The 13,820-nt window shown below is 40.1% G+C and overlaps 1 protein-coding gene and 1 pseudogene across 1 annotated transcript in view, besides 2 other annotated features; one reads left to right on the top strand and one right to left on the bottom strand.

Annotated features, from left to right (window-relative positions):
* FAM98B (family with sequence similarity 98 member B) overlaps positions 1-6,474 on the bottom strand; it is a 33,584-nt gene extending 27,110 nt beyond the window's left edge. Inside the window, exon 1 of the mRNA NM_173611.4 lies at positions 6,369-6,474. Coding sequence (NP_775882.2) covers positions 6,369-6,439 — 71 coding nt within the window. The 5' untranslated portion in view covers positions 6,440-6,474. The remainder of the gene's footprint in view (positions 1-6,368) is intronic.
* LOC100422645 (CTD small phosphatase 2 pseudogene) lies at positions 861-2,042 on the top strand (annotated as a pseudogene).
* Positions 6,057-6,156: an enhancer, noted in NCBI's record as "active region_9203". NCBI's record gives its function as "activates an Ori minimal core promoter by ATAC-STARR-seq in GM12878 lymphoblastoid cells {active_cell/tissue: GM12878}" and the evidence as "EXISTENCE:reporter gene assay evidence [ECO:0000049][PMID:35858748]".
* Positions 6,217-6,326: an enhancer, noted in NCBI's record as "active region_9202". NCBI's record gives its function as "activates an Ori minimal core promoter by ATAC-STARR-seq in GM12878 lymphoblastoid cells {active_cell/tissue: GM12878}" and the evidence as "EXISTENCE:reporter gene assay evidence [ECO:0000049][PMID:35858748]".
* Positions 6,475-13,820: the final 7,346 nt, after the last annotated feature.

Genomic DNA, 13,820 nt, shown 5'->3' with positions numbered 1-13,820 from the left:
ACTTCTTAAACTTTTATGTGCATATGAATCTCCTGAGGGTCTTGTTAAAATAAAGATTCTAATTCAGTAGAGCTGGAATGATGTCTGGGATTCTGCATTTCTACTCCCCAGGTGATGATGACGCTGCTAGTCCACAGACCTCTCTTAAGCAGCATAGTACTTATTTTTTTACTTTCATTTAAAAAAAAAAACTCTCAATATTTATCATCACTCCTTCTCCTCTTGCAGTACATGAGAAATTACAGCAGGCATTTAAGAGTCTATTTATGCTACATTTAGCAACTGTTTAGTGTTTACCACATTTATTTCATACTGGCTTTGATTTCCAATGCCATTCTGCGTTTACAGAGAATAACCATGCTCCTAGTTTGTTCTATATATTCTTAGTTATTCATCAAAGTGCTACTGTTATTCCAAACACTGGGAACATCTCCCCTAGGCCTAGGCCCTCCCTCAAAGCCTCATACCCTGGAAGCATAGTTGCTGGTCAGACACTACTTCAAGCTGGGTGATCCAAATCTTCAGTCCATTAGGGCTGCTGGCAACTCTCCTCAACAATACAACCAGGGCCTAATTTACTTTCTATTTTCATCAGCCAAGAGATAAAACAGAAGACCCTTTCTTTTCCCATCATTTACCCAACCTATTGTCTTTGCCCCTCATCCAACTCTCTACCTCTCTCTGCTTCCTAAAAATGTCCACTATCTTTCATCTACAACACAGTGGATATTTTGCTATACTGTCCATTTCTTCTCAGAAAGATTATTCCTCTCTTGTTTTCACTCTGGATTCTCCATTTTGGACCCAAACTGAGAAGCCCAGAGCTGCTGCTAGGAGACTGGAGCCAGGGTACCCAAGGGAGCCCATCTCCGGGCGCCCACCCTTGGTACAGGCCACCTCGCTTCGCAGCCCAGGGAGGAAAGGAGAGGGGGTATGTAAACAGCTGTGGGAGTCGGGAGTCTCAGGAGTTGCAGCAAGCCCAAACCCAGGCCCCCCAGCCCAGCCCAGACCATGGGCTCACTGGTTCTTCCACCCAACCAGCCCGCACCTGTGGAATTAGATGGAGCACAGTTCCATCATCACCCAGGCACAGGGGAAGATGCCCTGGTGCTCACCAAGCAAGGCCTGGTCTCCAAGCCCTCCTTAAGAAGCCTCGTGGATATAACATCTTCAAGGCCCTTGTCTGCTATTTTCGCATCCAGCATGGCCAGTCAAGCTCTTCCACTGAGCTCATCCATATAAGGAGGAAGCCAACACCACTGCTAAGTCGGATCTGCTCCAGTGTCTCCAGTACCAGTTTTATCGGATCCCAGGGACGTGTCTGCCCCAAGGTGACAGAGGAAGATCAAAGGAGGATCTGTGTGGTCACTGACCTGGATGAAGCCCTTGTGCATCTTTAAGCCCAGCAACAATGCTAGCTTCACAGTGCCTACAGAGATTGAGGAGACCACTCAAGCAGGTTTCTGTCCTCAAAAGAGCTCACGTGGAAAGAGACGAATGAGAGAACTCTTTGAATGTGTTCCCTTCACTGCCAACCTGGCCAAGTATGCCAACCCTGTGACGGATCTGCTGGCCGGTGTGGGGTGTTCCGGGCTCACCTATTCCATGAGTCCTGTGGTTCCACCAGGGCTGCTAAGTCAGGAACCTCAGCCGCCTGGGGAGGAACCTGAGGAAAACCCTCATCCTGGACAACTTGTCTGCTTCTTACATCTTCCACCCAGAGAATGCAGTGCCTGTGCAGTCCTGGTTTGATGACATGGCAGATACTGAGTTGCTGAACCTGTTCCCAGTCTTTGAGAAGCAGAGCAGAGGACATCTATACCAGCCTTGGGTAGGGGCAGGCCTCTTAGCCTTCCCTGCTTCCAAGCAGTGGTCATCCCAGTAAGGGTCTTTCCTATGCTGTGCCTTTAGGATCACCTGACGGACAGAGTGAAAGCTGGAGGGCCTCACCACATGGGCCTGGAAATAGTGAGAAGTGATTGTAAGGAGCTTTAGGACAGCTTAGATGCCAAGTAGGCAAATGCCAGACCAACAATACCCAGAACTACCTGCTCCCGAGTTGTTGGGTTCCCGAGATGTGTGTGTGAGTGTGTGTTCTGCCATGAACTGTGGCCCCAGCATATAGCGTTTCAGTGGGGGAGAAGCTGAAAGACTCTTGGTCTTTCAAGTCGTCTCCTCTCCTGTCACCCTAAAAGCCACTGAACTCTACAGGGATGAAGACTATTGAAGACTCCATTGCCAAACCATGACCTTTCCTCAGTGTTATAAAGCCTATGCCAAGGAAAAAGGAAGGGTATGCCTTTGGGTGCTCCAGGTACACACCTTTCCAAAATCTTTCTCCAGCCAGCTGCTGCAGACAAAAATAAGACATTTCTGGGAAGATGAGGACTTGTTTCCAGGCCAGTACCCCAGTGGCCATCAGGTCTTGTGGCCCAAAAGCTACGCTTGCCTCTAGCTAAGTGCCTGGCATGGGCCCTTTCTGTGTCTCCCCAAGGTTGGGTACTGAGCTCCCTTCTTCACCATCTAGCCATAGTCTCGAACCTATGGGGAAGGAGGTTTTCTCCCCACCCTGGAAGAGAACAGATTACTGATTTCTGTTCTTTTGACTCTGAAAATTCTCTTTCTTAAAAAAAAAAAAAAAAAGTAAGATTGTTATTCCTACCATCTCTAGCTTTAATTATTTTTATTTTCACAAATGCCTTAAGGTCAGATAGTAGGAGTTTTGGCCTCCTTTCTTACCAAAATAGCATCATTATCACTGCTCTCCCATTATCTTATAAATATCTCCTATTTCCTTGAGGCACAGGCCACTCAGATTTGCCACCCATTCACTTGTGGTTTTCATCTATTACCTCTTGGACACTCCCCAACATCCCCTTTGCTCAGTTTTCCTCTCCACCTCTATTCTTGCCATTACACTGAGTTTCTTTAATGTCTGTATGTATACCCTATCTCACACCCTGAGCTCTCAATTCCAACCTGCACATGTCACTCAGCCCCCCTTGCACCCTTGCCATTACTTACAACCACTGCACCTCCAAAATCACTTATCCAAACATGTGGCTCCCTGACCACAACCTCTTATTTATCCTTCCACTTGCTTCTTCGACCACTCACCTATAACTATTCTTTGATATCATCATTACCTCCATTCATTGATTCCTCTGCATTCTCCATATTTACCAACTCTCTCCTATCTTCACATTCTTCTGTATCCAATTTAGATTCTAAGGTGTATCATTTCATTTTGGTGCTCAATAAATACCAACTGAAGAAATTAATCTGTTGGGGCGTGGTGGCTCACACCTGTAATCCCAACACTTTGAGAAGCCAAGGCAGGAGATCATTTGAGGCCAGGAGTTCAAGACTAGCCCGGGTATCATAACAAGACCCTGTATCTAAAAAATTTTTTAAAATAAAGAGAAATGAATCCTTGAATTTTAATATCCAATCAATCACTAAGTTCAGTAATGTAGTTCTTCCCATATCCACTGCCACTAAGCAACCATCATTTCTTTCACAGACTATTAACTAAATTCTCCAATCTATTTTCCATCTTGCTGACAGATGTAACTTTCAAACTAGACATCTAACCACTCCCTTTTTATTTAAAATTATTCGATCACATCCCATTGCTGTTATGATCAAGAATAAAATCCACAACACAGACTAAAAGGGGCTGCATGCCCTGATTTTCACCTAACTCTTGAATCCAATTTCCCACCACTCTGCCCCTCACACTCTGCCTTCCAACCACATTAGCCTCCTTCCAGTTCTTCTAATACAGCAAGCTCCTTCACATTTCAAAGTCTTCACATTTTCTTCTCACTGTAAGGATATCTTTGTCCCCCTTTTTCATCCATCCAACCTTAACTACTTAATTTCTATTCACCCTTCTTATTTCAACTCAAATGTCACTTCCTCAGGAATCTATCACTAACCCCTAAGACTTCTTAGATCCTCCTGTTACATCACCCTGTTCTTTTCCTTTGACACATTTATTATAGTTTATAATTGTTTTTGTGATCATGTCTGTTTCTCCACTAGATTATAAACTCCACAAGGGTAGGAACCAAGTCTATTTTGCTCACCACTGACTCCTCAGAACGAGGTCCAATATACAGTGTGTTCAATAAATATTTAAAGGAAACTTCTCTCCATAGTAGTGTTTCTCAACTGAGTCTGTGAATCTTTTTAAAAATATGCAGGTCTGTACTGTACCTCTGAAGATTATGATTCGGTCAGTCTATGGTATATACTAGACTGGAACAGTTTTTCACAAGTTCCACACGACTCTGATGTACTTCCAGTGTTGAGATCTACTATTCCACAAAATCAGAGACTATCAGAACTGAAAGAGACTTCTAAAATCATCTGCTCCAGCCCTCTCTTTTCACAGATGAGAAAACTGACTGACTCCTAGCCTATCCTGTTTTCACCTGTATCACTAAATTGTCCTTTCACATAGATTTTTCCCTTCAAATGCCTCCCATTAATTTATTTTACATGACAAACTGAAGTACCTTTGCTGATATCCTCAATACCTTACAACAGAAAATGCATTATTCACTATCTACATGGATATTTGAAAACACAGTGTTCCATTACAACACATATTGTAAATAACTACTTTTTTCACATCGTATTATCATAGGAGAATTCAAACTTCAAAATGTTGCCCTCATAGTTATTCCAGGAAAAACTAATTTTGGAGTGTGTAAACTGTTTTACTTTCCATGTTGAATAATCTGACTAATTTTCCTTGATAAAAATCAAGATTATAGCAATGAATTTTCTAAAACACTTATAATATGAACAATAAGTTCAAGAAATGAAGAAAGAAGAAAAGCACTGCCTTTTCCTTTTTCATAAACCATTTATGAGTTCCCAATATTCTTACCTGAAGTACTTGGGAGCTCAAACTGTTTGGAGCCTAAATAATTCTACTAAGTATTTTCAGTTCTTGTTTTGGTTCCTTCTTAACCAAGTTAAGTGAGAACTTCCAAGGGACTTCACAGAAGTAAAAATGCCCCCTAAATAATCAATGGCACTGTTCTTTCGTTTGACAAATATGTATTCACGATCTACTAAGTGCAAGACTCCGTAACCCTGGGTCACTGCAAAGTAGGTATTATCAGGGTTCAACTAAAGAAACAATTGATAGAGGGGCAAATGCAGTTTTAGAGAAGATAAAGTGGGGTGTGGGATTGGTTCAAGCTTCATAATAACGCTGCAAAGGCACAGCTTCCCCTATCAAGAAACAGCAGCACGTAGCAGGGCAAACAAATGTGCAGATGGCTCCAAGCTCTTTATTTAATGTGCACTGTATGACTCAACTATCTGGTCCTATGCTTACTGCTGTGGACTCTTCTCTAAGCTTTTCTTCATTCATTTACTCATTCATTCAACCACTATTTACTGTAAAAGACTCCGTTCTAGTGTGTTGCTGGGAAAACATCGGTGAATAAAATATGCAAAGCATCAGTTTTCCAGGAGCTGACTTGGGGAGGAGGAGGAATAAAACGAGGGAGAAGCAGAGTTCAAGAGACAAATGAATGGGCAGGACATGATAATTTGGGATGGGGACAAGAGCTGTGTGGAAAAAAACAGGATGAGGTTGAGGGGGAGATTACGAACCACCACACTTGTTAAGTATTAACATTACTCCCACCTCCACCCTGAGTTCTCACAGCACTTACCATTCTGCACTGTAAATACCAGCCGGCAGCAGACTTGCAGCCTGCGCGACTATGTAAGCCAAGAGTAATCTGAAAAACTATCCTTTTCCCTTGCCTAGGGGAAATTTACAAACGTAAATATGTGTAAATTAATATACAAGCTAATATACACGTTGACGAACGGACGAAATGGTTGAAAGAACGAACTCGCAATGAACTACAACACTTTCTCCGGTCAAAGTAAAAGCCATTCGCTCCAGAGCCCCAAGTAAGCCACAAGTTGTACATTGTAGGAGACAACAGTCCTCAACAGCAGCTCAGGTTCCAGCACCTCCCTCCGGGCGCCAGAACTACGTCAACACAAATATCACCTGCGGGCGCGAGCTAGCCCAGAAAACCGGTGCTAGAAGGGCCGCTCCGCGCCACCCGGCGGATTCCTGCAACAGAGTTTCGAGGCAAGAAGTTTCGAAGAGGGGGCCACGAACCCCAGCTCTCCGGCCCTGCTCCACCCCCCAAATAGATTTCTCTCCCGCCTCCCGCTTAACTCCGTCGGCGCCGGAGGGATCGAGGCAGGGAAGGAGGCCTACACATGGCCGCCCAGGCCCACAGAGGCCCAAGGGAAGTAGGCTAAGCAGCCAGGCCAAGGAGAGGTTGCGTTTTCAGGGAAAAGGCGTCTCCAAAAGCACTCACCCCAGCGCCTCCAGTGTGTCCAGCACGTCTCCCTCCATCGTCGGTTGGGGACCCGGCTCCGGCCCTCTCATGGTCCTTTGGCCCAGAGCTGTTCGGCGCTCTAAGTAGCCCGCCGGAAACTAGCGTCACCGCGCCAAGGTTCCGGTCCGGGTCTGGCCGGTAACTGCCTGAGAGCACAGCTGAAGAAGGGCGCAAAGGTTCCCAGCCCCGAGGCAATAAACACTTCATAGTGCCTAAAACCGCTGCGTGTAACGATAATAATTTTTTAAAAGAATAGTAGAAATAATAAATAATAGTAATAAAGAGTTCTCTGTGTTGGGACTTTTCTGTGTGTTCAAATAAATTTTAGCAAATATCGTGGTATCGGGTTGATCTCAACCTATCCGATTCCAGACCTTTTTAATAACAGAAATCTGAAATAAAATTATAATTATCTTCAGCTAAAATTAGTAACTAATATCACATGCCTACACATATAATTTTTAAATCAATATACACGACGATGCTTCAACTTGAAGGAAAAAATGAAGTAATTTATAACAAGGTAATATTTTTCTCCTTATGAAATGCGGAAGACCAATGAAGTGATCAGATGCTTGCATCTATCTATGTAGAATCCCCTCAACTGCATATTCAGATGATGTGCTTCATTGCTGACAAAGCATTAGTTGTATAAGCAACAAACATACCGCCAGCAAAGTAAGGTAGTTGATGTGGTTTTCCAAAATTGTGGCGAATTCTCTGTAAAGTTCCAAACAAACAAAACATAATATACCCTCTGTGTACTATCCATGAAGAATTCAATCTCTTATCTAAAGGATTTAAAAAATGTATTTTAGGGTTCATATGTAAAAGGTACTAAGAGTATAAGGTTAGATCATTATTAGCAGGCATGTCACCTACATGAATACTCTAGCAGAACTGTTGGAAATCCTGCATGAAGTATAACTATTGATCCCTTGTATGGACCTGTCCCTTCCATTGCAGACTACATAGCATTCGTAGCCCCAGTCCAATAAAGACCAGTAATGCTCTCGCCTTCCTAATTATGGTTACAAACAAAAAGCATACCCATAAATGTGTAAAACACTCAAAGGTAAGCTGTAGTAGTCCACTCTCATATTGCTATAAAGATATACCTGAGACTGGGTAATTTATAAAGAAAAGGGGTTTAATTGGCTCATGGTTCCACAGGCTGTACACGAAGCATGATGCTGGCATCTGCTCCACTCCTGGGGAGGCCTCAGGAAATGGACAGTTGTGGCAGAAGGGGAAGGGGGAGTGCAGCTATCACGTGGCCGGAGTAAGAGGAAGAGAGAGGGTGCAGGGAGGCAGGGAGGTGCCACACACTTTTTTTTTTTTTTTCAGTCTCGCACTGTCGCCCAGGCTAGAGTGCAGTGGCATGATCTCAGCTCACTGCAAACTCCGCCTCCCGGGTTCACGCGATTCTCCTGCCTCAGCCTCCCGAGTAGCTGGGATTACAGGCGCCCACCACCACACCCGGCTAATTTTTGTATTTTTAGTAGAGACGGGGTTTCACCAGGTTGGTCAGGCTGGTCTCGAACTCCTGACCTCGTGATCTGCCACACACTTTTAAAAAACCAGATCTCATGATAAACTCACTCACTATACAGTGCCAAGGCAGGAATGGTGTCAAACCATTCAAGAGAACTCTGCCCTCATGATCCAATCACCTCCCACCAGGTCCCTCCTCCAACATTGGGGATTATAATTTAACATGAGATTTGGGCACAGACACAGATCCTAACCATATCATAAACTCAACCATACATTTGTATAATGACTATTATTACTGTATATTTTAGTGTTGTACAAGGCTTAAGCGTAAAATTACTTGCAGTTTAATGTATCTGAATTCATCTCCAAATAAGGGAGAGGAGAATGTATATTAGTGGTTACTGCCTCTTGTCAGAGTTGGGGTGTCATAGAAGGTACTAGTCTTAGTACTCTTGGCAAAAAGTCTCTGTAAAAATCAAATAGAAATGAGGTAACTGTTCTTTATTATTATTGATCTTAAGTGTTCTGCTGCTGGTTTTCCTAAAAAATCTAAATAAATGAATAACAAAAGTTATGCACAGAAAAAGAACTAAAAACAAACAAAAAAGCATGACTGGCCTAGCATGGTGGCTCGCATCTGTAATCCCAGCACTTTGGGAGGCTGAGGTGGGAGGATCACTTGAGTCCAGGAGTTTGAGACCAGCCTGGGCAGCAAAGTGAGACCATATCTCTACAACAAATTTAAAAATTAGTCAGGTATGGTGGTATGCACTTGTAGTCCTAGCTATTGAGGAAGCTAGGGCAGGACGATCAGGATTGCTTGAGCCCAGGAGGCCGAGGCTGCAGTGAGCTGTAATCAAGCCACTGCACTCCAGCCTGGGCAACAGAGTGAGACCCTATCTCAAAAGAAAAAAAAAAGCATGACAGATATTTGAAAAAACTGAAAAGGTCTAACATAGTAAATGGAATAATTGGACTCCAACAAGACCCTTGAAAAAATGAGACAGAAGCAAGAAGAGACTCTGCTAAAAATTTCCTGACAAAACACTGATCCAAGAGCACTGTTAATGTCAACCAGGACGTATACAAAGAAATTCACAATTTAGGAAAATTTTTGTAAAAATGCTGAAAACAAAAGATAGAAGGAAAAGCTTAAAAGCAGCTGGAGAAAAAAATCAAACTTTAACAATAATATAAGCTGACTTCTCAAAAGAAACAATGGAAGCAAGAAAATCATGAAACAACATCTTTCATATGCTTTAAATAATGACAAATCCAGAATTTTACACAGTGGAAATATCCTTAAGAAATGAAGGCAAAATAAAGATGTTTTCAGATAAACAAAACTCATGTAAATTGTTTCCAGCAGACCCATGTCAAAAGAAATATTAAAGAGGGTTCTTCGGGTTAAAAAAATGATGCCAGATGAAAAAAAAATGATGCCAGATGAAATCCCAATGGTGCAAAAAATAATGAAGAGTATCACTGGAAATGGTAAATATGTAAGTGAAACTAGATATATATTGACTATTCAAAACAGTAATAGTAATGACTTCTGAAATGTAAAATATAGAGAGAATTCAGGGGGTGAGGTGCTGACAAAGAGTTTAAAAACAATAATGTTCTTCCATTATCCAGGCAGTGGTAAAATAATGAATTTATGGTAGCAAATCAAGATTGCATATTGCCATCATTTAGGTAATCACTAACAGAATTATGAAATAGTATATAACTAACAACTAAGAAAAGGGAGAAATGGAATAATGAAAAATACTTACTAAATCTAAAAGAAGGCAAAAATGGAAGATAAAATATCAAACCAAAACATGGCTGGGTAGCAATATTAATATTAGAAAAAATAGCTATTAACACAGAAGCATTATAATATTACAGAGAGATAAATAGGGACATTTCATAATGATAAAAGGGTCATGACGCAGAAAACCATAAGAATTCTAAATGTTTATTTGCTTAATAACCAGCCTCAGAGTATATAAATTTAAAAGCCAACAACTTAAAGGAGAAATAGACAAAGTCACAATCACATTAACTAATATAACAAGCAGTCAAAAAAAATCAGTAGGCATAAAATATTCCAAGTCAATAAGACTTGGAAAACATAATTTATAAATTTGACCTAATTGATATAGATAAATCTCTACCCCTCCCAAAACTTCAGAATATGCATTTTTCAAGTGCACATGTAATTTATAAAACTTAACCCTATAGTGGATCCTAAAGTAAGTCTCACCAAATTCAAAATTGAAATCATAAAGAGCATGTTCTCTGACTAAAGTGGATTTAAAATACGAATTAATTCCCGAGTATGAGATTGTCTAACAAAAAAAATAAGGAATTAAGAATTTAAAAAGAAAACTAAAAAATCCCTTAACTAATTGATGGGAATTCAAGCAATACACTTCTAAATAACCAGGCCTCAAACTAGAAATTATAATGGATATTAGAGAGTTTTGAACTGAGTGATAATAAAAACACAACATATCAACACATGCAGGATTCAACATATGTGGATTCATTCTTAGAGGAAAATATATAGCATTAGGTGTGAATATTAGAAATGAAAAAAGATTAAAAATTACTTAAGTATCAATCTTAAGAGGCTGAAAAACAAATGAAATCCAAAGAAGCAGAGAAATAAAAACAATAAAGAGTAGACACCAACGAAATAGGAAGAAAATGCAATAGAGAAAATTAAGCCAAAATCTGAGTCTGCAAAGGCTAATAAAATTGACAGATCTTTAGCAAGGCTGATCAAGGTGGGGGAAAAGAACAAACAACCAATATAAGAAATGAAAAATATCAGTACTATTTATCAGACATTAAATAGTTAAAAGAGAATGTTATGAACAACTTTAAATTTAAAAATTTAAAGGAAGTTGATAAATTTCTTGCAAAATACAATTTAACAAATATCAGAAAAAATTAAAATATGAATGGTTCAGTATCTATTAAAGAAACTTAATCACTAATTAAAATTCATCCACAAAGAAAACTCCAAGCCTAGATTGCTTTCCTGATGAATTCCTCCACATAAGTAGCACCATTCTTACACAAACTTTCCAAGAGACCAGGAAAACATGGAGCATTTTCAATGTTTTCTGTGAAGACAACCTAATCTTAAAACAAACACCAATGAGGACATTACTAAAAAGGGAATCTGTAGACTAATTTCCCTCATGAATATAGAGCTGCACTTTCAAAGTCACCTAAGTAATGACCAAGTTGCCATTTCAGTTCAGGCCTTTTCAACATACAGTGCTGGCAATGGGATATCCAGATCTTCCACTTCAACCTCATGCTATACACAAAAATTAACTCCTGATAATGGTAGATGTAAATTAAAAGAGAAAACAATAAAGTTTTTAGGAGATAACATAAACTGTCTTCATGAACTTGAGATAAGCAAAGATCTCTAAATATACTGGTTAGGGCTTTTGTGTCCTATTTCAGAAATCTTTGTGGCTGGGCATGGTGGCTCACGCCTATAATCCCAGCATTTTGGGAGGCCGAGGAGGGCAGATCATGAGGTCAGGAGATCGAGACCATCCTGGCCAACATGGTGAAACCCTGTCTCTACTAAAAATACAAAAATTAGCCATGTGTGGTGGCGCACACCTGTAGTCCCAGCTACTCAGGAGGCTGAGGCAGGAGAATTGCTTGAACCGAACCCTGAGAAGGAGGTTGCAGAGAGCTGAGGTTGTGCCACTGCACTCCAGCCTGGCGAGAGAGCGAGACTCCCTCTCAAAAGAAAAAAAGAAAAAAAAGAAAAGAAATCTTTGCATATTTTACAGAACATGATGATATTCTATATTATGTTGGCAACTTGGTCTTTATTAAATTAAGATCTGAAAAAGATTCCATTAAAAAAGCCAGAATGCAAGCTACACAAATGAGAGAAAATATTTGTGATACATGTATTTGACAAGGGACTCCTATTCAGATTATGTAAAGAAATCCTTCAAATCAATTAGACAAAGACAATTCACAACTAACTCAAAGTTGGGAGAAGAAAAGTGGAAAAAAGAGTTGAATAAACATTTCACAGAAGAGAATATTCAAACCACCGAAACCTACACGAGACAGTGCTCAATCTCATTGGCATTAGAGAAATGCAAATCCAAATAATCAAGACATATTACTACATACACAGAAAGAAAGGCTAAAATCCTCCCTCAAACAAACAAACAAACAAAACCTTGACAATATCAAAGATTGGCAAGAATGTTAACACTGGAACTCTTATACACTGTTTTTTAATTAATTAATTTAGTTTTTTTATTTCAATTTTTTTGGAATATCAGTGGTTTTTGGTTACATGGATAAGTTCTTTAGTGGTAAATTCTCAGATTTTAGTGCACACGTCACCCAGGCAGTGTATACTGTACCCAATATGTAGTCTTTTATGCCTCACCACCCTCCCAAACATAGTTTCCCCCACCACCACCAAAGTCCCACCACCGTGAGTCCCCAAAGTCCATTACATCACTCTTAGGCCTTTGTGTCCTCATAGCTTAGCTCCCTCTTAAAAGTGAGAACATACAATATTTGATTTTCCATTCCTGAGTTACTTCATTTAGAATAATGGCCTCCGGCTCCATCCAAGTTGCTACAAAAGACATTATTTCTTTCCTTTTTATGGCTGATTAGTATTTCATGGTGTATATATAGGATATTTTCTTTATCCACTCATTGGTTGATGGGCACTTATGTTGGTTCTATATCTTTAAAATTGCAAATTGCACTGCTATAAACTTGCATGTGAATGTGTCTTTTTGATATAATGACTTCTTTTCCTTTGGGTAGATACCCAGTAGTGAGATTGTTGGATCAAATGGTAGTTCCACATTTTAGTTCTTTAAGGAATCTCCATACTGTTTTCCACAATGGCTGTACTAATTTCTGTTCCCATCAACAGTGTAAAAGTGTTCCCTTTTCACCACATCTACTCCAACGTCTATTGGTTTTTGACTTTTAAATTATGGCCACTCTTGCAGGAATAAAATAGTATCTCATTGTGGTTTTAACTTGCATTCTCTGATAATTAGTGATGTTGAGCATTTTTTCAAATGTTTGTTGGCTGTTTGTATATCTTCTTTTGAGAAATGTCTATTCATGTCCTTTGCCCATTTTTTGATGGGATTATTTGTTTTTTTTCTTGTTTGAGTTCTTTGTAGATTCTGGATACTAGTCCTTTGTCAGATGTATAGTTTGCAAATATTTTCTCCTACTCTGTGGGTTGTCTGTTTACTCTGCTGATTATTTTTTTGCCGGGCAGAAGCTTTTTAGTTTAATTAGGTACTATTTATTTATTTATGTTGCATTTGCTTTTGGGGTCTTAGTTATGAATTCTGTGAATATTCTAAAACTTCTGGCCTTTAGTGTCACCTGTTTTCAGGAGATACTGACTCCTATGGCAATTCCCAGATTTCATTCGGAGGAATTTTACCCTCAAGACATTAGTAATAGTGCAGAGCATCATTAGGAAGACACTGATTTGTTTGATTAGAGGAATAATGGTCCTTGTACCCAGTACCAACTGCATAATGTATGGGACCCACTGCAAAATGAAAAAATATTAAGAATTTCAAGACAGCAAAAGCACAGTATTAAACCAAGCATGGAGTTATGCTAAGAGCAGGGTTCTGCGCAACTGCATAGGTTGCATGTCTTTGAAGTTGGCTCTTCTTGTATTCACCTGCTATGGTTTGAATGTTTGTCCTCTCCAAAGCTCATGTTGAAATTTAATTGCCATTGTAATAGTATTAAGAGGATGGCCCTTTGAGAGTTGATTAGGCTGTGAGGGCTTTGCCCTCATGGGTGGGCTTAATACCTTTAAAAGTGGGCTTTGAAAAGTGAGCTCTGTCTTTCTTTGCTCTTCCACTCTTCTGCCACATGAGGAGCAGTGTTTTTCCC

The sequence above is a fragment of the Homo sapiens genome, chromosome 15 (genome assembly GCF_000001405.40).
Source record: "Homo sapiens chromosome 15, GRCh38.p14 Primary Assembly".
In the NCBI taxonomy this organism is placed as follows: Eukaryota; Metazoa; Chordata; class Mammalia; order Primates; family Hominidae; genus Homo; species Homo sapiens.
The sequence above is the reverse complement of the archived record's forward strand: the minus strand, read 5'-3'. Positions and strand labels throughout refer to the sequence as shown.